General features: G+C 47.4%; 1 protein-coding gene across 3 annotated transcripts in view, besides 1 other annotated feature; it reads right to left on the bottom strand.

Moving 5' to 3' along the window:
- Positions 1–23,029, bottom strand: part of AGAP1 (ArfGAP with GTPase domain, ankyrin repeat and PH domain 1) — a 637,751-nt gene that overhangs the window by 462,448 nt on the left and 152,274 nt on the right. The window lies entirely within an intron of this gene.
- Positions 10,254–10,909: an enhancer, noted in NCBI's record as "OCT4-NANOG-H3K27ac-H3K4me1 hESC enhancer chr2:236567081-236567736 (GRCh37/hg19 assembly coordinates)". NCBI's record gives its function as "activates a minimal SCP1, AML or CMV promoter by ChIP-STARR-seq in naive H9 embryonic stem cells {active_cell/tissue: H9 hESC(naive)}" and the evidence as "EXISTENCE:reporter gene assay evidence [ECO:0000049][PMID:30033119]".

The following is a 23,029-nucleotide window of genomic DNA, read 5'->3' as shown; positions in this document are numbered from 1 at the left end:
GCTGCGCGTTTAAATGAGGCATCTTTCCTAACCATGCAGCCTCGAAGATGCAACTCATGTGACTTGTTTAAAAAACAGTCTTTGGTACCTGTTACCGCCAACCTCACCTAGGAACAAGTGGGCTTCCAGGAAGACAAGAACAAAGAGATGTGACTGTGAGGGTGCTGTGTACACCAATGCCATCCCAATGAAGGGCCACAGTCTGTCTCCTAACATAATTCTGTCTTTATTGTTTTCATTTTCAATTATCAATAACCTCACCCCAGATAAACCTCCATGGCTACGATACTGCCTCTGTGCAAAACTTCTAAAATAATCTTGTAGGGTTATTTTACCAATGTGTGGGGAAGGATTCCTTACAGGTAAGCACTTGCTCCCCATGACAACAGACAGGAGAATACTGCGGTTAAGAGCAAGCAGACAGACGTGCCTGCCCGCAAGCCAGGCTTATTCACTGACAAACCACTTGCTTTTCCACCTGTAAAACAGGGGTGCCAATAAAAGCTCCTAAACTTTGAGCATTCCTGTGAAGATTAAATTGGTTAAAATCCTATGTGCCAGGCATTCTGTGTACATGCTAAATATTCACCATTAATAATGAAAACTGAACTTCTCTTCCATCAAATCCTCGATTTCCTACCTGGTGGGCTGATAGATACTGGTCTAGGATGTTATCGGAGGCCACAATATTTAGACATAGATGATCAACTTATCAGTTCCTCAAGCTGTCTTAAACACAGATGTATTGTTTCAGAGTTTCCTTGATGAAAAGTTTCAGAAGGAAAAATACAATGTCCCCTAATCACACCACATGCTTACACGACCTTCTCCAGGCCTAGAAATGCCACAGCTTGCTACAGGCTGTTTCTGGGCAAGGTGCTGGCGGCCAGGCCAGGTGGAAGCATTACTTTGGGATTTGCTATTTGCAGGCAGGGATTGTCAGGTGCCAGCTTTCCCTACTTTAATCTTATTGTGGGGGTACCTATTGTGTTCACGACACTGGAAGTGGCATAAAACTGAATTGGGCAAGCTCTCTTTTGAAGGAAGTTATAGAAGTTATAGCCTAGGAAATCTAGATTTTATGACAGCATTAAATTTAATATTCAGATTTAATGAAATAAGTCAGAGTGACTGCTAGGTGATTCACTTTATTTATCTTGAAAGGATACTTTAAAATACACCTGAGCACCCTCTGTGGCCTCGACCTTAACATGATTTTCACCATCACAGGGTCATACCTCAGCCTACCTGCTACTCAAACTCTAAGGGCTCTGGATGTGGTACCTCTGATTACATCCTCATTGTAAGGAGGGGTCTCCAAGACAGAATCATTTTACCTTTTGAGTTTCAATAAAGAAGACTTTTTTTTTTTTTTTTTTTTTTTTTGAGACAGAGGCTCACTCGCTCTTGCCCAGTCGGGAGCTCAATGGCACGATCTCGGCTCCTGCAACCTCCACCTCCTGGGTTCAAGTGATTCTCCTGTCTCAGCCTCCTGAGTAGCTGGGATTACAGGTGCGCGCCACCAGTCCCGGCTAATTTTTGTATTTTTAGTAGAGATGGGGTTTCACCATGTTGGTCATGCTGGTCTCGAACTCCTGACCTCATGATCTGCCCACCTCAGCCTCCCAGAGTGCTGGGATTACAGGCGTGAGCCACCACGCCAGGCTAAAGAAGCCCTCTTTGATAAGAACCAAGAACCCCCAACTTCTAGAGTAGCAGCCAGGCGGGATTCATCTGTCAGAATGGTTCAGAATGACAGCCTAGCGCCCATCTGGTTAGGGAGATGCAGAGGCTCGGAGACAGAGGGCACCTCCCCAGGGCTACACAGCTCCTCAGTAAGGGTGAAATCTGGGGTTTGGGGGTCACACTGCCTGTGCTCATTTTTTTTTTGTCTTAGTAAGCATCAGCATTCTGCTTTGTTGATAACAAAGACCAAAGTAAACATGTGAATATTACTGAACTCCACACAAATCAAATGTAAATGTTACCTTGACATTTCCAGGTAGCATTTTTAGCAAACTTTCACAGACTTACTCGGTTTTCTATTGGTTCATTTATTCATCGAATATATATTGAGTACCTACTGCAATGCTACACAGTGACAACGCAGGGGTTCTGTCCTCAAAGAATTGACCCAACTCCCGAAAAATGCTAAGGCTACGTGATTTTACCACAGAAAGACAGCGAGGGAGAGAAAAGCTTCGCGATAATCCCAGAGACAGCTACAGGGCCATCCCGCCTCTTTAATGATGAACACCACTAAAATATGGCAAAAGTCTAAAATTTTATCACTGCAGCTGTACAGACTTAAAGGTCACCCAGGTCTGTAAGCTGAGAAACAAACAGCAACGTGGAAAGATAGAGATCTCTGCTACTGTCAAGGGTGGGACCAGAACCCTGGGCTCCTAACTTAGCCAGGTGTGGGAGGGGGAGGTCAATTCTCACTGTTTGAGACCAGGGCAATGTTCACATACTGAGATGAACTTTAATATGAAAGTAGCTTGTCCATAATTAAGGTATGTAAATCTATCTGGCTTGTTATCTGAAGCATTCATAGAGCCCAAAGTAAAAAATAAGGTAGTATTCCTTCAGGGCTAAAACACTGGACTGTTTGTGTCTCCCAATTACTGTACCTTTGTTGAGAATCCATCCCAGGTTTTGCACTTTGCCATATGAGATGCGGGCTGCGGAGTAGAAGAATCCATTCCATCCACCTTAGATGACACTGACTCTTCCAGGGAACCTCTTCCAGCCATAGCCAGTGTGTTTGTGATCTTTCAGCATTTCCACCTCAGAAGGAAGCACTTATTTTCCACACCAGTCATAATGATGCCATGTCAAGTGCAACTGTGGGTGCTGAAAAACCTGGTCACAGAGAATTGCCTTTCCCCACTGCCTTAGAGAGATGGGCTCTCCCGATGCAAAGAAGACACATGCTCCCGACATGTCACTCCAAAATCTAAATCCCCTTCTACAAAGCCAGACCAGCCTTTTTTGAAGAGGAAAAAAAAATCACAATACTATATATGTTCAGGTGGCATTATGCTTTATTTTCCTGTGGCTTTTTAAACACTAGACTGCCATTTCTTGAATTTTTTCATGCCATGGAGCATATCACCATTTTTTTTTTTTTAAAGCATGTAGTTGATTTCACTGCTACCTCAAAACCAAACAGCAGCCGGGTAATGCCTCCGTGCTGCAGGGACTAATGCTGCGCGAGAGAGGAAGACTGCAGAGGAGAGTTCAGGAAAGGTGCCAGCCCTAGCTAACCCCCATTCATCACCCTCAGCAGCTGGCTTCGCTCCCTTAGTTCCAAGTTTATGAGATGCTTTGGCCACCGTCTCACGACTCCTCTGTCCCGGGTCATTTCTAGCTACCTATAAATCAAACATTCTCCTGGAGAATAGTATTTCCAAGTGTTGCTAGAGCTGATAAGCCTTATTTAAAGGAAACTTCTGGTAGCCAGTCAGCAGAGCCATCTGCTACACAGGCTGGCTTTCCAAATAACAGAACCTGACAGCCAGTAATCACGTTTGCAGTATCTTAGCAGAACCGCGTCTGCTGATGGTAGAAACTGGCCAACCACTGGTACTGCCCAGGCCTGAGCATGCCCACCCCGGGAGCCCACCAAGAGCCCCTCCGTGGGTACATCAAAGGCTATTTTCTGGTAGCCAGTTGACTGACAGATACATGTAAGAAGAAGCAATTACCAAGACAGTAACGTCTTATTAATACTTTTATATTTTTAGCATAAGACTCAAATTCTCATCTGAGAATGTCATGGTAGAATGGTTTCTAAGCTAAGATTTGCCATGATGCTCAGCTTCTAGGAACTGAAAATTCTGCACGCATCCCTTTGCCTGGGACACTCCAGCTGAACTCACTGGGGACCCTATTTCTCTCGTTTTAAAAGCTGAAGGTTAAACGTGGAACTGTAAAAGAGATGAGGACTTGACCCTTATCTGCTAGTGGAGGAAGGACAAGTATGGTCTGTCTGTAGGGCAGGAACATTGATCTGGCAGGAAAAAAGACCCCAGAAGGTCCTCTGAGCACCTGCATCCTTCCTGTGTTTTTCCTTAAGGACCAACGATAGCAATTCCTGCCAACAGAACACTGGCGATGTCTATTGTGTATGAACACACCACCACACAGACAGGCTAGAGTGCAGTGGCAAGATCATAGCTCACTACAGCCTTGAACTCCTGGGCTCAAGTGATCCTCCTGCCTCCTGAATAGCTGGGACCACAGGCACATGTCACCACCCCTGGCTAATTTTTAAATTTTTTTGTAGAGAGGAGGGTCTTGCCATGTTGCCCAGGCTGGTCTCGAACGCCTCACCTCAGATGATTCTCCCATCTTGGCCTCCTAAAGTGCTGGGATTACAGGCGTGAGCCACCATGCTTGGCTAACGTTTTTTTCATTTATGGTAAAGATGGGGGTCTCACTATATTGCACAGGTGGGTCTCCCTTGTTACGCCTGCACCTGGCTAAGGGTTGAGGTGGCATCACTCACACGTACTTTATCCTCTGAGAATGGGAACTGCCACATTACAGAAGAAGAGGCTTTAGTTCTACCCATGCATGAGGAACACGGGAGATTCAGGCCCAGACTCCTTTCCTCCATGCAGCCATAGGAAGCATCGGACCCCACACTGAGACTTCATTTCCACTTAAACAGGCCAGTGAGAAGCAAGCTTGGTTTTAAAACAAGCCAGCAAGTGTCCATTGTGAGTAGATTCTTATTCCCAAACAAAAGGAAAATATTAGATATTTCTTGGTAGTTTTTCTTGCTAAGTGTCAGGCAAAGGTGACTTAAGATATTAAATCAGGCCAAGTGTGGTGGCTCATGCTTGTAATCCCAGCACTTTGGGAGGCCAAGGCAGGTGGATCACCTGAGATCAGGAGTTTGAGACCAGCCTGGCCAACATGGTGAAATCTTTTTTATATTTATAAAAATACAAAAAAAATTAGCTGGGCGTGGTGGTGTGCACCTGTAATCCCAGCTACCTGGGGGGCTGAGGTAGGGAAATCGCTTGAACCCAGGAGGCAGAGGTTGCAGGGAGCTGAGATCATGCCACTGCACTCTAGCCTGGGCAACAATAGTGAAACTCCGTCTCGAAAAAAAAAACAAAAAAACAAACTATATATTAAAATCCAATCTATTAAGCATCGTTTTACAGAGCCAACACAAACAACACTGAACAGCCACGTCACACACAGCAGCTCCCAGTTCTGGCCACTCGCTAGCTGCCAGGCACTGGCCACAGCTACGGAGTCACCAAAGGAGCTCCCATCGACCATTCAGCCTTCGAGCTCAGGGACAGGAGGGATGCGGTCAAGGGTAACACACAACACTGCAGCTGTCTATCAGACAGCCTCAAAGCAGCCCTGGAGCTTTTGTGCAGAAAAACCAAGAAATCCCTACACATTATCTAATCTTCCTAGTATTGGGTGCACAGGGGAACAGGCCTATTTGGTAACATTTTCCTCTACAGGATTCACGGGAGGGAACTCTTCTAATATCGCCATCTGTACGATGGTCTTCATGCAGACATTCCTTCTCAAAGCACAGGGAAGTCGGATTTGGATTCTCCTAAGAGCTTCCTGGAGTAGGAACGAATATCACGAACTGTCAGAGAACAATGACCTAAATATGTTTGACAACATCTGGATGTTTACCAAGCTTTTCTTTAGATCCACTAACCTCAAAGATTTAGAAAATCCATGACTTACATGAAAATCACATTGAGGCCACAAACGATGCCCTGGGAATTTTTGCCAGCCCCATTACAAAGCCCAGCTTCTGGAAGAGCGTGATTTTACACAGTTCTCCCTTCTGCATCCCATTTGGGATTTGGCTGCAGAGATATCTGAAAACTCTTTTATCTGTGCCCAGGGGACTTGAATATTTGATGTATATTTTTCCTCTAAATGTAGAAAACAAAATGCCTACGATGCCAGTTCAAAGCCCAACCCCACGCTGCTGCTCCCATCTCAGCAGAGGGATGCACGTGATCGCTCCCCTTCTTTTTTTTTGAGACAGAGTTTCCTTCTTGTTGCCCAGGCTGGAGTGCAATGGTGCAATCTTGGCTCACTGCAACCTCTGTCTCCCAGGTTCAAGCAATTCTCCTGCCTCAGCCTCCCAAGTAGATGGGATCACAGGCGCCCACCACCATGCCCAGCTAATTTTTATTTTTAGTAGAGACAGGGTTTCACCTTGTTGGTCAGGCTGACCTCAGATGATCCACCCGCCTCGGCCTCCCAAAGTGCTGGGATTACAGGTGTGAGCCACCATACCCAGCTCTCCTTCCTCTATTAGCCAGCGTGTCCCTAGCTCGGTGTTCCCCAGGCTTGAAGGAAAACACATCAGGGGCTGCTGGGAGCGGCAGCTACCTGCCCTCCTAGTTAGAACATGCATCAGAGCTCTTAAGAAAGAACTGCGTCCCCGGAATCACATCTGACACAGTAAGATGGAATAAAACCTCTGCTCGCCATGCACCAGTCAGCAGTGGCCAGGAGCACTGAGCAGGGTGAGGGGTTCTTGCAGCGGAGCAAGGGGATGAGGGACACAGGCTGGGTGTGAGCCCAGAAAACCCCAACTCCTGCAGCTGCTGAGCACCTTTGCTGAGTTATGACACTGTGCTATCTTTCCTCTGTTCAAAATCACCAACTTCGGCCAGGTGTGGTGGCACACACCTGTAATCCCAGCTACTTGGGAGGCTGAGGCAGAAAAATCGCTTGAACCCAGGAGGCAGAGGTTGCAGTGAGCTGAGATGCCACCACTGCAATCCAGCCTGGGCAACAGAGCCAAAAAAAAAAAAAAAAAAATCACCAACTTCCATGAAGGCAGACAGACCAAGTAGGGGAATGATAAACTAAATTGGGATGGCCACACAATCTACATTACTTCAAAACTGCTGTGAGTCCTCCCCTCCATGGACGCACTCTGTCCCTAGGAGTGTGGCTGAAGGTGAGACCTGGTTGGTTACATACCAAGACTTTCCTCATCAGCTCAGCTCTGCACACTGACTGAGGGATCAGAGGCAGCCTGCACAGACACTCTCTAAAGCCGCGCCACAAGTTAAGATGTGACTACCTGGCATGCAACTGAGTGGATACACAAAGCTGGGATTCATGTGCCACCACCCTGGGTCCCTTTTTTCCTGGTCACGGCCTTACAGCCACTCCACCCTAAAGGAGCTGAGTAGGGTGGTCAGCTTGGAGGTGGAGGGCCAGGCCGTGCCGCCTCCTCAGCGCCATGGTCTTTTCCTTCCCTGAATTCCTGGAGCCCCCTCCTATGGCCATACCCCAACTCACCCAGGATAACACTGCCCTACAATCTTGGCCTCCAAAAGCCCTTTCCCTGCCCACAAGTCCCAGGTTGGCCATCCTTTCTTTCTGGAACTTCCCCTCCAGCTGTAGGGAAGCTGACTGTCATGCATCCTTTCCATCCCAACTCAGAGCTGCCTCCTGGCGCCTCCTTCTCTGTCCAGCAGAGGCCAAGGGACATCACTGTATCACTGTCTACTCCAGACATGGCCCCACCTGTCCCTGGCTCCTGTAAGACCCCCCTGGGCATGCCCCAAAGGCGGATCTGTACGAACTCCAGTGCACTGGACCAGTGTTCTCCAAGCACGGTCTACAGATCAGCAGCAGGGGCTTCACCTGGGAACCTGACCCCACCCTGAGATGCTCCATGTCTCCCGGAGATTCAGGCTAGCACGAGCATCGGAAGCCCCAAGTCCACATCACCAAGTCCCGCTGCAGATGCACATGTGCTGGGGCTGCTTCCAGCATCCTACAGCCCCCCCACCCCCACAGCCCTGGCCAGCCCCCTTTCCCATTCCTAGGATTCCTTGAAACTATCACTGCCCCATCCCCTCAGTAGGATGGCCTCCAGCCATGACTTCAGAGCTCCCTCAATGTCCTGCCTCCCGCCCACACCCAACTCTCCCGCTCAGAGTTGGCAAATGGACCCTGTACCCTCAATCACAATCACCGCCTTTCCTTCAGGCGGCAGAGGAAAACACTCGATTACGTCCCACTTAACAGAAAACAGAAACAGCCTGCCTCTCCTCCCTCCCTCCAGCCCTCAACAAAAGCCTCTCCTCCGCCTGCCAATCTCTCCCCACCTGCGTATCTGTCTGAACTACCCGAAGAGTCCACTCTCCCTCTACTGTTCACAGCCTCTTCATCTGTCTCAGGATTCCCACAGCACACACGTCCTTGCTGACCCACCCCCAGACGTAGCCTACTCTCAGTAAACCATCCTTACTCCTGCAATCAGAGTCTGAGGGTACAATTCTGTTCGGAGCCCTCAGTGAGTCCCTGTCACCTGCAGAATAAAGCGTCCGTTTCCTTAACCAGTATTCAACGCCCCGACACCCTCCAGTCTCCACAGTTGCACTGAGTGGCTAAGAGGCTGGGCTCCAAGGCCAGAATGATGCAAACCACATGTGACCTTGGGAAAGTGACCTTGAGGCTCTGCATCAGGTTTTCATTTCTGCAAAAACGGGACAAGAACAATACGGTAGCTGCGACAATAAGATGTGATGATGTATGGGGAGCATCTGCTCCAATGCTGAAAACCAACAGAGGTTGTTTCTATTGCATCCCAAGATTCCCCATCTAAACACACCAGTGTCCTTTCTAGTTCCCAACCACACCATACCCAGTCTCGCCACTATCTCCTGCTGGGATCAGCAGGATGGAGCTCAACTCTACACATCACTGGGAGCTGGACTCAGGAGTCCCCAAGCTCTTTCCCTGCTGGCCCTGACCCCTTCTTCTCCCCTCATACCTGGGCACACCTGTGCACACCTGGGCACTCTTCCTTGGCATCTGTCACCCTGCTCTGACACTTCCATTTATAGAACCCCCTCCTTCAGTTAAGGACAACTTCTCTCACCCTCAAGCCCTTATCAATGTTCTACTTAATAAATGCTGCTTGATGGTTGACTTAATCAGTGCAGGTAATGCCTCAGTCATGTTACCAACAAGAAGGTTGGTCAACTTGTACTAAACCCCCAGGAAGCCCATTTACCCTTCCACACAGTGCCTCCCTCACCGTGACCCCGCAAGTTTATCTATGAAGTCTCCAGTGGTTAGGGAAAGACACAGAGAAGAGGGTGATTCACTTCTTCCCCTAGCCACAAAAATCCTCAGCCGCAGCTGATCTTGGGTGGCCGCCCCCCTGAGAAAGCCTGTCCCTCCCTCCCTTGGTGGAAAACATGAAAACACAGTCACTGTGTGTGCTGAGGGGTGGGGGCATCCCAGAGTGTGACTGCCTGGGAAAAGCCAGCCTGGTGGCAGCTGCTTCACTTCAGGGAATGGGATGCTGGTCAGACAGAGGGGTCTACAGCCTTGAGGGGCCCATGGAGGGGTGCCTATGGGCCTGTTCCTTCCCTGCCCACCCCACCAGCCTGGGCCCATGCCAGGCCCATTGTGCACAAAGAGCCAGATGTTGATTCACGAGTCCCTGACCCTCCCAGGACCAGAGGTGGCTGGCTGGTTCCCCAGATTTCGCATCCGAGGGCTTATCTGCAGAGGCCAGGGCCCCAACTGAGAGACAAAGAAATATACACTATTGATCCAGGGCTTAGAAGATCCATTAAGAAATAGAATACTTGGAATAACTGAGAACTGTTTACAGAGAGGATAATAATTGAACCCATCCCCAGAGTTGATGCAGGGATCTGACAGCCCTCGGCACCTGGACCTGCACAGGTTCTCAAAGTAATGGTTGCTATGCTTCAAATGGCACGTTCAGGGGAGCTGCAAAGGGACCCCGAGCAGGGCACTGACGCCTGGCAAGTGACCCACAAAACATGTGTTCATATAGCACCCTGACTGCCAAAGGATTTCCCAAGAAGCCACAGTTGTTGGAAATTTTGAAAAAGGTGACAGGCTCAGCCTGCCCAGCTGACGCCCCTTCCCAGTGCACCAAAGCCAATGCTTAAGGAGGACGCTACTCACTCAGATACAACACTGTGGCACTTCAGACGTTAATTCAGTTCATCCATTCTACCCCCAAAGTGCCACAGAGAGGTAGGTACTATTATTATCCCGATTTTACAGACATAGAAAGACATAAAAAGTCAGTCACAGGTTAAAAAGGTCCCTGGATCTCACTGTAAAGGGTGGGGCTGGATTGAAGTCCACAACCCACTCATCAGATTCACAGAAACGCACAAACTCGGCAGGGTGTGGGAATCCAGCTCCAGGGCCTTCCCCAGGGCAAGCCCAGAACGGCAGGTGGACTTGCAAAAGGAGGCTGGCGTGGAAGTTGGCAGGGCGGGAACAATGGAGGGCCTCTCAAAGGAAAGCAAGTGCTGTACATGCTGCTGGGCTGCTTCAGAGTGAGAGCAGAAGGGAGGAAAGAGGAGGAGGGAGGGCAGAGAGAAAAGCAACGTGCTAAAAGAGCTTTCGGAGAAAGTACTCAGAAATGGTAGTAAAACACCAACAACAAAAACAGAAGGTCCCTCACGGGTATTCCGAGGGGGAGGGTGCCGAAAACTCAAGGCTGATTGGGGTAAAACAGGCTCCCATTTCATTTGAATGTCAAAGGACAAAGAACAGCCCAGTGATTAGGATTATCTCCCAAATCCCACCCTCACCAGGGAAGTCCCCGTTTCCTTCCAGAGTTCCTGGAAAGGCTGGGTAGCTGTTCCTTGAGCTGGCTCTGCCCCGCCAACAGCTCCAGGGAAGCCCAGCCCTGTCCACTGCCCAGGTCTCTCTTTTGAGCCTGTCCACCCCTCCACCCCTGCTGGGCACGTGCCCCCAGCACCCTCTCACCCGGACACTCTGCTCCACACCTCCTCCCAGACTCTTGACCTCGACCCCCGGGAGGCTGCAGGAAAGTCTTTCAAGTGTAGATGTCTCTTTGCTAATACGGAAATACTCACTTATAAAGCCATAAATTCTTCCCGTCCGAAGCATTCTGGATAGAATTAGAGCAGTACAAAGGCCTGGGCCTTGGAAAAATCGCTTATTTCTCTGAACACATCCAGACCTTTCGCAGGTCTGTCAACCCAGACCCCTCCAAGGAAAATAGCAGCACCGTTATTTCTAAAGCTGGTAATAGAAGACATTTTGCTAATAGAAGAAGGTATGCACAAACTAGAAAAAACGCTTTGCAAAAGTGTAAAGGAAAAAAAATCCATAAATATTTAATTGGCCACCAAGGTTTTAATGACCTTCCCTAGCAATAGAAAGATTTTAATGTTCATAACATTTGAAGCCATCACTGTACGAGTTTACCAGCCTTGACCTAACAAAGTACCACGGGCTGTGTGGTTTAAACAACAGACACCTAGTTATCCTAGTTCTGGAGCCTAGAAGGCCGAGATCAGCACAGTGTGGACAGGGCTGGTCTCTTTTGAGGTCTCTCGGCTTGGACATGCCGTCTTCCCCCTGTGTCCTCACATGGTCTTTCCTCTGTGTGTCTGCGTCTTAATCTCCTCTTCTTATAAGGACACAGTCTTACTGGATTAGGGCCCACTCTACTGACCTCATTTTGACTCAATCACCTCTTTAAAGAACCTGTCTCCAAATAGAATCGCATTATGAGGCACTGGGGGTTAGGACTTAAAACACACACATTCTGGGAGGCACAGTTTAGCCCACAGGAATCACCACCATGGTTATGGAATAATCACACCACTGGGCTGGGCGCGGTGGCTCACGCCTGTAATCCCAGCACTTTGGGAGGCCGAGGCGGATGGATCACCTGAGGTCAGGAGTTCGAGACCAGCCTGGCCAACATGGTGAAACCCCCATCTCTACTAAAAAATATAAAAAATTAGCTGGATGTGGTGGCGGGCGCCTGTAATCCCAGCTACCCCAGAGGCTGAGGCAGAAGAATTGCCTGAACCCGAGAGGCAGAGGTTGCAGTGAGCCGAGGTGGCGCCATTACACTCCAGCCAGGAGACAACAGGGAAACTCCACCTCAAATAATAATAACAACAACAACAACATCACTTATTCTTAAAGTAATGGGAAGATTCAGTGTGTAATAGTCACATTTGGATTCACAGAAGGCCTTTTTCTCAGTAAAAACTCAAATAGCGACATAAACAAGGTCATGCATTGAACAACTCAACTCCAGGGCTACCCAGTGCCCTACAACTGAAGTAACAGCTATAAAGTGGAGACTAACTCAGGATTGAGAGAGACAAGATCTCCCGTCTCTGAGGAGGAAGTCCAGAGGCTTCCAACTGTAAGAAGCAGAGAGTCCCTCATGGCTCAATTTCACTGTGATACTCCTGGGGAAAGTAGGAAAGTTAACAGCACATGCATGAGAGCTGGGTCAGCTTATCTAGACTCTGGTTTCCACTTTTCAATGGAATATTAATTGGATTCATTTAAAATCATGCATGTCTTGCTGAAATATTAAATCATAATCCATGTGATTGTGGTCAGCAATTTCAGTGGGGACCCCTAGTGCAAAACCGAATAGGATGCCTCTCCTTTTCCTTTCTGTTATGTTAAAGGACTGCAACATTATGTTATATATAAAGTTTCAGTGCCACAAAAGAAATAGCACTCAAATATAAAATTTTCTTTTTAATTCTCAGCAAGGCAAGTTACTTCTACAGAAGGGTGCGCCCTTACAGATGGAGCAATGGTGAGCGCACACTTGGACAAGGGAGGGAAGGGGTTCTTATCCCTGACTCACGTGGCCCCTGCTGCTGTGTCGTTCCCCTGTTGGCTAGGGTTAGACCGCACAGGCTAAACTAATTCCAATTGGCTAATTTAAAGAGAGTGACCCGGTGAGTGGTTCGGTGGGAAAAATGGTTATGCAGGGTGGAGAATGAGTCAGGGCAGAGCAGGTAGCAGGTAATCGGAATGAGTCAGGGTGGAGCAGGTGATTGAAATGAGTCAGGGTGGAGCAGGTAATCGAAAAATGTTGCTTTATGAGAAAGTTAAGTTTAGAAGTAGAAGGCAAAGAACTGAACATACTGACATACTGATTCTTTGAAAAGAAATTTAGAACTCATATCTAACAATTAGCTTCATGTAAACCCAAGTGTTAGGCTTGAAACTGTTGTTTGTTCTCGTGCTTCTGAACGTAGCCTTAAAACAAGCAAACAATGCCTGCCCTGCAAAAAAAGTTGTCTTCTTGAAACCCGAATATCTGTCTCCATCAAGGTACAAAGCACCAAGATAAATGAAAGCAATATTCTCTACTGCTTGTCCTCATTAGCCATCATCAGCAGGAGCGGCCCCCTGAGGCCAATCAGAATGGGGGCTGCAGTCTTCCTGGTGAAGGAGAACTCCAGTGCCCTTGCAGGGAAGGAAGAAACGTGCGATGGACTGCTTCCCTGGACTCTGCATTTCTTTGTCTTTCCTGGTAGAGTGTGTACAGCCCTGCTAGTTACTTATTGGAAGTATCGGAGCTCCAACAACTGCCTTGCCACATCCTGCACTGCCCCCTCCCTTTTCCATACAAAACCCAGGGTCATATTCCAACAAAGATTCTTCCCCAGCATCCAGGATGGTGCCTCACTTAAAAAAATACCTTGGAAATTTCTACTGAATAAACTTAATCCTGAATAAATCATGCTTTTGGAAATGTGTTAAAAATACACACGTGGCACTAAAGATCCTTTCTTCACAAAATAAGGAATCCTGCTCCATGTGGACTTGCAGAGCAACACACGGGGCACCTGCTTCGCTGGAACGCAGTTAACTGCTTGGCCTGGGATCCCACTCACAGGCAGCCTTGCTAGAGAAACGTTTTCACAGCTACTAACTCATCAGATACAGGTACTCAACACAGGTTAGATATTCCCAACTAGGAGTGGGGAGTATTATACTGGTGAAATACAGGAAAAGGGATCAAAAGTAAGACTAGAGAGCCCATGAGGCAATGAAGGACTGGGCACCTGGGTTGTCCAGGTGTGATTCTGCAACACTTAAGGAGATCCCTGGGCATGACCAACATTGAAATTACCTAGAAAGGAATTCAGGCCACATCACTTTCCAGCTTTCCATCTATTGTCTTTTTCACCTACTCAATTTATTAATACACACCACAAGGAATGCATATACCAGGCTACGAAATTGTGATATCCCAATGGAATAAAGTGCTTTAAAGAACAAAAATGGAGACAACGACCTGTCTACCTTCCAGCTTCTGTACATTTAATTAATTCCATGTTCAATTCCAGCATGAATAAATTTTCAAAGCTTATGTCTCCTGTTAAATCTATGCTGACCTTGTGTCAAATGCACAAAGGTTTCTGTTAACACACAACTCAAAAAAAAAAAAAAGAGGATCATTCTGGATATAGTAATTAATATTCTTTATTCATGAAAGAGCTTTGTTTAAAATGATATGATTCAATCAGAAAGTCATTTTCTTTCCGAGTTTGCTGGCCTTCTGATATGAATGCAAATCATGGTGACAAAGACAACACAGGGATTGAAAACATACTGCCTACTCCTTATAATTGTTTAATCTTGCTCCAGATATAGCTGGGAGAAATTATTTTGAATATTTTTATTCCAATTTTCTTGAGACCACTTGCCTACGTGAAAATAAAGCAGAGACTAGTGATGGAGACCTTTCTGATGAAATTATCATCAAGCACTGTCATTTGATAAGAGAAAAAAAAAGGATCTTAGAAATCCTGTGGGTATGATTAGAAGCATGTCATCTTTAGAAGTGGCCGGGGGGACCACTGACTACTAATAAACTAGTTCACGTCACTTTAAATGTGTCACCGTCTTGAGATCACTTTATCTCCACTAACAGACACATAGGGACATCTGAGGATGACCTCTGACTTGGTGAACCATTCTTTACTTTTTACTACACTGCGACAGCAATGCACCCATTAAAATATTTCTTGTCATCATTCAATCAGTGGCGTAGAATATTGTGCCCCTTCTGAAGCCATCATTTATTAAAATATCCAATTGGAAAATCTGTTTCCCTTATCTTGCTATTGTAGTTACACAGTTAAGCATCCCCAGCTGTGCAGGAAATACCATGGCAGTGAAGACATTATTGAGCACAGAGGAATCAATTGGTGTTCCTGTCAAAGATGTCACATGCCACAAAGAGGCCAGGCGATAAAACACAAACACCCACGCTACACTAAGCACACAGTTATATATAAAATCCCTTCATGGGCCTTTGTCATCCTGTCCCAATCCAGATTGAAATAAGCAACGAATGAACCTAAAGGACACTGATTAAAATCTCCTCTAGATAACTGTCAGATTCTTCTTCTGCTTCTGTATTTGTACTTTCTAAAATTAACATGGATTGTTTTTGTTTTGTTGAGACGGACTCTCACTCTGTCACCCAGGCTGGAGCACAGTGGTGCAATCTCAGCTCACTGCAATCTCCGCCTCCCGGGTTTAAGTGATTCTCCTGCCTCAGCCTCCCAAGTAGCTGGGATTACAGGCGCCTGCCACCACTCCCGGCTAATTTTGTATTTTTAGTAGAGACGGGGTTTCACCATGTTGGCCAGGATGGTCTTGAACTCCCGACCTCAAATAATCCGCCTGCCTCGGCCATCCAAAGTGTTGTGATTATAGGCGTGAGCCACTGTGCCCAGCCTGGATTGTTTTTAATACATAAGGCCATTTTTAATTTTTAAACTTGCATGTAGGCTGGCTCTTCAACAATTTTGTTTATGCTCTGAGTGAAACATACATTGTTTTTTAAACCTATCTCTTGGTTTACTCAAACTGACCATTTTAAAATCTGTCTTGGATAGCTCCCCCTTTACTACTTAATCCACTCAGGTAGAAGAGATGAGGCTGATGGCCAGGGAGTGTGCACTTTTTTATTTATTATTTTATTTTATGTTATGTTATGTTATGTTATGTTATATTTTATTTTATTTTATTTTATTTTATTTATTTTTGAGATGGAGGCTTCGCTCTTTCGCCCAGGCTGGAATGCAGTGGCGCTATCTCGGCTCACTGCAAGCTCTGCCTCCCGGTTTCATGCCATTCTCCTGCCTCAGCCTCCCGAGTAGCTGGGACCACAGGTGCCCGCCACCACACCAGGCTAATTTTTTTATTTTTAGGAGAGACAGTGTTTCACCGTGATAGCCAGGATGGTCTCGATCTCCTGACCTCGTGATCCGCCCGCCTTGGCCTCCCAAAGTGCTGGGATTACAGGCATGAGCCACTGCGCCCGGCCGGAATGTGCCCTTAAGTAGCAAGGTAAGAGGGTTAGCTGCTGTAGGGTATGATTTCCTCTTTACAATGCAGCAAATGGGCTTTGAGAGGTCAAGTGTCTTGCCCAAGGCCAGACAGCAAAGCCTACCCTCTTATCCTTCCCGGTGCAGTGCTGCCTCCCCACACCTGTTGATGGGTCAAAGAACACCTACTGGTATCGTTCTTGTTTTTCGAGACAGAGTCTGGCTCTGTCCCCCAGGCTAGAGTGTGCAGTGGCACAAACTTGGCTCACTGCAACCTCTACACCCTGCCCCATTCAAGTGATTCTCCTGCCTCAGCCTCCTGAGTAGCTGACTCATTGCAACCTCTGCCCACCCTGCTCCCTGCCCCTGATCAAACGATTCTCCTGCCTCAGCCTCCTGAGTAGCTGGGATTACAGGCACCCGCCACCACAACTGGCTAATTTTTGTGTTTTTAAGGGAGATGGGGTTTCACCATGTTGGCTGGGCTGGTCTTGAACTCCCGACCTCACGTGATCCACCCGCCTGGGCCTCCCAAAGTTCTGGGATTACGGGTGTGAGCCACCGCACCCGGCCTAGGATCACTTATGTTTCTGTTCAACTCTACCCTTGAGTTCTCTTCCCTGATGTTCAGTGATGGCTCTGAAATGATGATGTGGTGTCTCCTGAATCACATGGGCTCTCCACCCCCAGACAGATAGAGGCTGCTCTCTTAACATGGACTCAATGCTGTCACCCACAGACAGGTGACTTGCTTAGGGTGGCTCTTGGAGGCTGATGGGCCTCTAAGGAGTAGGAAGCATGCAGAGGACAGGGGTCTCCAGGGACACAGTGGCCTGGGGGGTAGGGGGGGTCTGAGGGCTGCGTGGCTGAAGGCTGGAAAGTGGTCAGATAACTAAGATGGCCATCTCCTGACAAGCAGGGCCCTGTTGCAGGGCCACAGAGTGACAGGTGGGCTGCTCCCAGAGGGACACAGGACATTCAATCAAGCTTCCAGTTGACCAGTCAGGGAAGTCACTATAAAAGCTGCCTCTGCCACCTGGAAAGCTGATCAGCATGTCTCCTGCCCACTCCAGGTGTCTTTCAAATGAAATTAAGTTTGCCCCCTTCGATATGGTCTAGGGTTTGCAATATCCTGTATTTCTCAATTATAACCATCAAAAAAGTCGAGCGTTCAAAAAACAAAAGGGGTGCCCCAAACCCTAAGAATTTCATACCAAAAGACACTTGCTGTAAAACAGGGCTCCTTCTCCTTCTCATCAAGACAAGCTGTCTTCTGGGTGCCCTGCTGCCTTTATATGCCTGTCCCTCCCCGTGGACCGCTTTATCCTTTCTGGAACAAGATACGAGTATAAATATAAATCAACCTGTCAATTACTATGAAAATCTCTTTAGCTTAGATTCCTAGAAGCACAATTCCTGAGTCAAAGGAAGCCAGCATTTCATACATTCACATTTCCAAACAAGTTTATAAAAAGGTTTCCCTTCCCACCATCATTATTTCGGGGGGCTCAACGTTGCTCACTCCCAGCCCACCCACCAGCACACAGGCTTAATCTGCCAACAGCCACAACATGACTAGAGGGCTGAATCTGTCTACGTCGTCGACATCACTGTTTTTAGTCTTTGCTGATTTGTTCAATAAGAGCGTTTCAGATTAATTGGTTTTTGTCTATTTGCCTATGGGAATCTTCATGTTTTTCCAATCTATTTGTATGGGCTGTTTAAACATCAGGAATAACCATTTGTCTGCAACATTCACTGCAAATATGTTTCCCTTAAGCTTGTCAAAATGAGGACTGGAGTATGTCAAAAACAAAACATGTTAAGAACATTGCTGATGGAGATATCTGGCAGATCGTTTTCTCAGTGGTACTAGAACTTCCTGTTTATCATCATCCATTGAGTCGTTCCCCACCTTGTCCACCAGGTTCCTCGGCCTGTGACCACTGCCTGCAAGGGTGTCTCTTTTTTTTTTTTTTTTTTTTTTTTTTTTTTTTTGAGATGGAGTTTCACTCTGTCACTCTGGCTGGAGCGCACTGGCTGGCACGATCTTGACTCACTGCAACCTCTGCCTCTCGGGTTCAACTGATTGTCCCACCTCAGCCTCCTGAGTAGCTGGGACTACAGGAGCATGCCACCATGCCTGGCTAATTTTTTATATTTTTAAGAGAGACCGGGTTTCACCATGTTGTCCAGGCTAGTCTTGAACTCCTGACCTCAAGTGATCTGTCTGCCTCAGCTTCCCAAAGTGCTGGGATTATAGGCGTGAGCCACCACGCCTGGCCAGGGTCTCTATCTTGGCTGTCTCCTAATGGTGCCACACATGTCAGAGGCTGCTCTGCCAGACCCAGGTCTTCAGAGCACATACTAGCTCTTTTTATAGGACATTTCTTTAATAAGTCTTTCTAGAGTTTTACTTGAAGCTAAGCTCACAGATTTGCAATCTGCAAAAAACACACTTTTTCCTACTCTGAAAATTGGTACGTTTTTGACATTGAGTTTTCTGTGCCCTATTTGCCAAGGTTTTCTTCAGCAGAGCAGGGTAAAGAGCAAGCTAATTTCCAGGAACACTCAGGACCTCAGAAGGCACCACTTGCCACAGCATGAGACTGCAGAGTTTTATGTTTTCTATGTTTACTTCTTTGCCATATCCCCAGTGCCCAGAACTGAAACAGAGCATGCTCAACTAACATATAATGGATGGATGGGTGAGTGGGCAGAGGGAGAAGAGGAGGAAGACATGGATGTCTAGGTGGGTGGAAGGATGGAAGGACGTAAGGACAGATGGATAGATGAATAAACAAATGAATGAACAAACCCAACTCCCAGAACTCACTCTGTGACCCAGGCTGGAGTGCAGTGGCACAATCTCGGCTCATTGCAACCTCCACCTCCCGAGTTCAAGTGATTTTTCCTGTCTCAGCCTCTGGAGTAGCTGGGATTACAAGCGTGCACCACCATGCCCAGCTAATTTTTGTATTTTTAGTAGAGACGGGGTTCTTCATGTTGGGCAGGCTGGTCTCGAACTCCTGACCTCCGGTGATCCACCCACCTTGGCCTCCCAAACTGCTGGGATTTCAGGCGTGAGCCACCATCCCTAGCTGGTTTAATCAATTCTTATTTTAATATTTTCCATCCAAAGATCACCATCTAATCATAAAGATATTTTTCTGATGGCAGAGGATGTTCATCCAGTTTGATTTACTGAATTGTGTTGCCTTGGAATCTCATCAATTAACCTGAGTCAGACATTAGAAAGCCACTACTCTGGTATAAAAGGCACTCCACAGTAAAATAAGGGAAGCCAGCCCATGCTTGCATGGAGGAGCTGAAGTACTTCAATTGGTTTCATTTTCATCAGCCTAGATCTTTAAATTAGTGACATCTGATGCACTGTACATTACAGTATCGTTACCGTGATAGAACCTACAGCGTAGTGCTCCTCAGGGCAAGGTCCCAGACAAGCAGCATCAGCACAGCCACCTGGGAGGCGCTAGAAAAGCACAATCTCGGCCAGCCACTGTGGCTCACATCTGTATTCCTAGCACTCTGGGAGGCTGAGGCAGGAAGGTTGCTTGAGTCCACGAGTCTGAGGCCAGCCTGGGCAACATAGCAAGACCCCATCTCTACAAAATAAGAAAATGTGCTGAGTGTAGAGATGCGCACCTGTAGTCTCAGTTATTCGGAAGGCTGGGGTGGGAGGATCGCTTATGCCCAGGGGGTTGAGGTTGCAGTGAGCTACAGTCATACCACTACACCCCAGCCTGAGCAGTAGAGTGAGAATCTGTCTTTAAATAAAAGTAAAACAATAAATTAAAACTGCATAGTCTCAAGGCCTGCTTGGCCCCACGGAATTGAAATCTCTTGGGCAGGGCCCAGGAATCTGTGTTAATAAGCTTCCAGATGCTTCCTGTGCATAAACATGGCCTCTAGACTCACTCCTGAGCCTAGGAAAGACTGATGTTCCCACTGCCCCACAAAATCCTCCCCCGAGGAGCGTCCCACTCAGTGACTTCACTTACCTCTTCCAAGAGCCCACTGCCCGTCCCAGAGAGCAATGCAACTCAATTCCAATGCAAGAATGTTCTGGGGTTTTAAATAAGCCTTCCAGAAAAGTGTAACTACTCTCATCTGGGGTTCTCACAAGTCACATTCTCAGGCTAAACCCTGTTCCGAGTCCCCCAAGATCCAATTAGGAGGAGCTACCATGGTGGCTTTGGCGGGGGTACAGGGGAGGGGTCCCTGCTTCCGAAGTCCTGCGAACTGAGGTCACAATTACATGACTTTTTTTTTTTTTTGAGACAGTCTCGCTTTGTCACTTAGACTGGAGTGCAGTGGTGCGATCTCGGCGCACTGCAACCTCCGCCTCCCAGGTTCAAGTGATTCTACTGCCTCAGCCTCCCGAGTAGCTGGGGCTACAGGCGCATGCCACCATGCCCAGCTAATGTTTTTTTTTTTTTTTTTTTTTTTTTTTGTAGAGATGGGGTTTCACCATGTTAGCCAGGATGGTCTCAATCTCCTGACCTAGTGATCTGCCTGCCTCGGCTTCCCAAAGTGCTGGGATGACAGGCATGAGCCACCGCGCCCGGCCACATGACTGTCTTAACTGGAAGAGGAAGATGAGGTTTCCAGCTGTGGCTGAATGTACAGTGTGAATAGAAAACCCTCTTTCCACGGGAAGAACAACAGAGAGGGAAAGGTAACCTCACCTTAGTCTCGTGAAACTCTGAATCAAGGTGCTTGAATGTTAGTGAGTGCAGAGCTGTCATGTGCAGACTCTTCATGGTTCCAAGAGTGCATTTCTCCACTGATGAAGGGAGAATGCAACACTGGAGCTAGCCCACCGCAGAGCCTGTTGCAGGGACAGAGTGCACTGCTGCACTTTCACAATCCTAAACAACAGCAGACAAAAGAAAAAGGAAAGAAACCCAAACTGCCCACCCTGAGGGCACAGGAGGTGGAGGGGCAGGTAGCTGGGGATAACCAGAAGGTCTCAGAAGAGAGGGAGAAAGAGATGGAGGCAGCATGGCACACACGGGATGGACACCCCCCAGTCAGTCTCTCCCACAATGTAATTAGCTAAAGCTAAAAACTTTTCAACGCCAGCCTACAGCTGCCTGGCTTGTGTGCAGCTTTCTAAGAATAACTTGGGGGTTGGAAGGTCCTCAAGAAGCCACATGTGCTCATCTCAGTCACCCCAGTACTCCTGAGCTCTCTTTCTGATTGGTTCAAATTTCTCTGAAATGGTGACAATCTGCTCTCACCTGGCCAGAGGGGGGAAATTAGTGGCGGTGTGATGGTCTACAGTAAGGACAAGGAAGAGACCTGGAGGGGATCCCTAGGCTGCCACCAGGGTCTCCACACACTGGTCAGCCAAGAGCCTGGACAGTAAAATCAGGATGAAATTAGACTAGAATGGAAGTTCATTCCAGACCTAAAAACCTATATTGTCAACACTAGGATTTCTTTGTGAGGCTATTAAAATGTGATTCCTCAGCCAGGCATGGTGGCTCATGCCCATAATCTCAGCATTTTGGGAGGGCAAGGGAGGAGGATCATTTGAGTTCAGGAGTTCAAGACCAACCCAGGCAACACTGCAAGAGTCCATCTCTACAAAAAGTATAAAAATTAGCTGGCTGTGGTGGTGTGCGCCTGTAGTCCCAGCTACTCGGGAGGCTGAGGTGAGAGGATCGCTTGAGCCTGGGAGTCTGAGGCTGCAGTGAGCTATGACTGCACCACTGCACTCCGGCCCGGGTGACAGAGCAAGACATTGTCTCAGAAAAGAAAAAAGAAATGTGATTGCTCAACTCTAAAAACCTCTATAAAGCAAGTTCGAAGGCTTCAATCTGATCTGAGACAGTCATGCTACATGGGTACCCTCAAGTAAATACTTTAATGGCAGGGCAGACTGTGATCACATTGTTAAGATGATAATTACAAAACTCAGTTGCATGCAGTTGTGACCAGACTGGAACCTTTAAAAAGCAAACAAAAAGCTGACCTTGTATTACTGTCAACATTCATTGTGAAGACTCTTGACTTTTCTTTTTTTTTTTTTTTTTGAGACGGAGTCTCGGGTGGTGCAGTGGCGCAATCTCGGTTCACTGCAAGCTCCACCTCCCAGGTTCACGCCATTCTCCTGCCTCAGCCTCCCGAGTAGCTGGGACTACAGGCGCCTGCCACCACGCCCAGCTAATTTTTTGTATTTTTTAGTGGAGACGGGGTTTCACCATGTTAGCCAGGATGGTCTCCATCTCCTGACCTCGTGATCCACCCGCCTCGGCCTCTCAAAGTACTGAGATTACAGGCGTGAGCCACCGCACGCGGCAAGACTCTTGACTTTCTGTGATATGGACAAGCTTGCTTGGAGCCCGGCCCCTCCACACTGGCCAGGAGGTTGTACAGAAGGCCTCAGCCTGTGCCTCTCAAGGCCTAAGGGTGGCCCAAGCACCCAAAGGTCAGTTCCAGCAGTGACCTTGAACTTATCTCTAGTTGTTGTTCAGGGGTTAGAAAGATGGAGAAGTCAGAGATCAGGTGGAAAAGTTAGGGGCGGGGGCCCAAGGGAGAGAAGCGACACACCAACACAGGAAAAGCAAGCATGTCATGTTAAAATTCAGCAAGCCTAACCCAGCTAACCAAAATGCCCCCCGTTCCTACATGGAGAGGAGGCTTCACAAGGCTGCAAGCTGACGTCTGGTTTTGGTCAATAAAATTATTCCTGAGGCACATCTTAGAATGTTGCATTTCAAGTCTTGCTAATATGGTTGGTACAGGCAAGAATTTCTAGTTCTTTCAAAAGATTCATTTTGGACCTTGAGAGATTCTATTCATAACTGTTAAATAAAGATGCATTATCTTAAGATGGC

The sequence above is a fragment of the Homo sapiens genome, chromosome 2 (genome assembly GCF_000001405.40).
Source record: "Homo sapiens chromosome 2, GRCh38.p14 Primary Assembly".
Taxonomy (NCBI): Eukaryota; Metazoa; Chordata; class Mammalia; order Primates; family Hominidae; genus Homo; species Homo sapiens.
The sequence above is the reverse complement of the archived record's forward strand: the minus strand, read 5'-3'. Positions and strand labels throughout refer to the sequence as shown.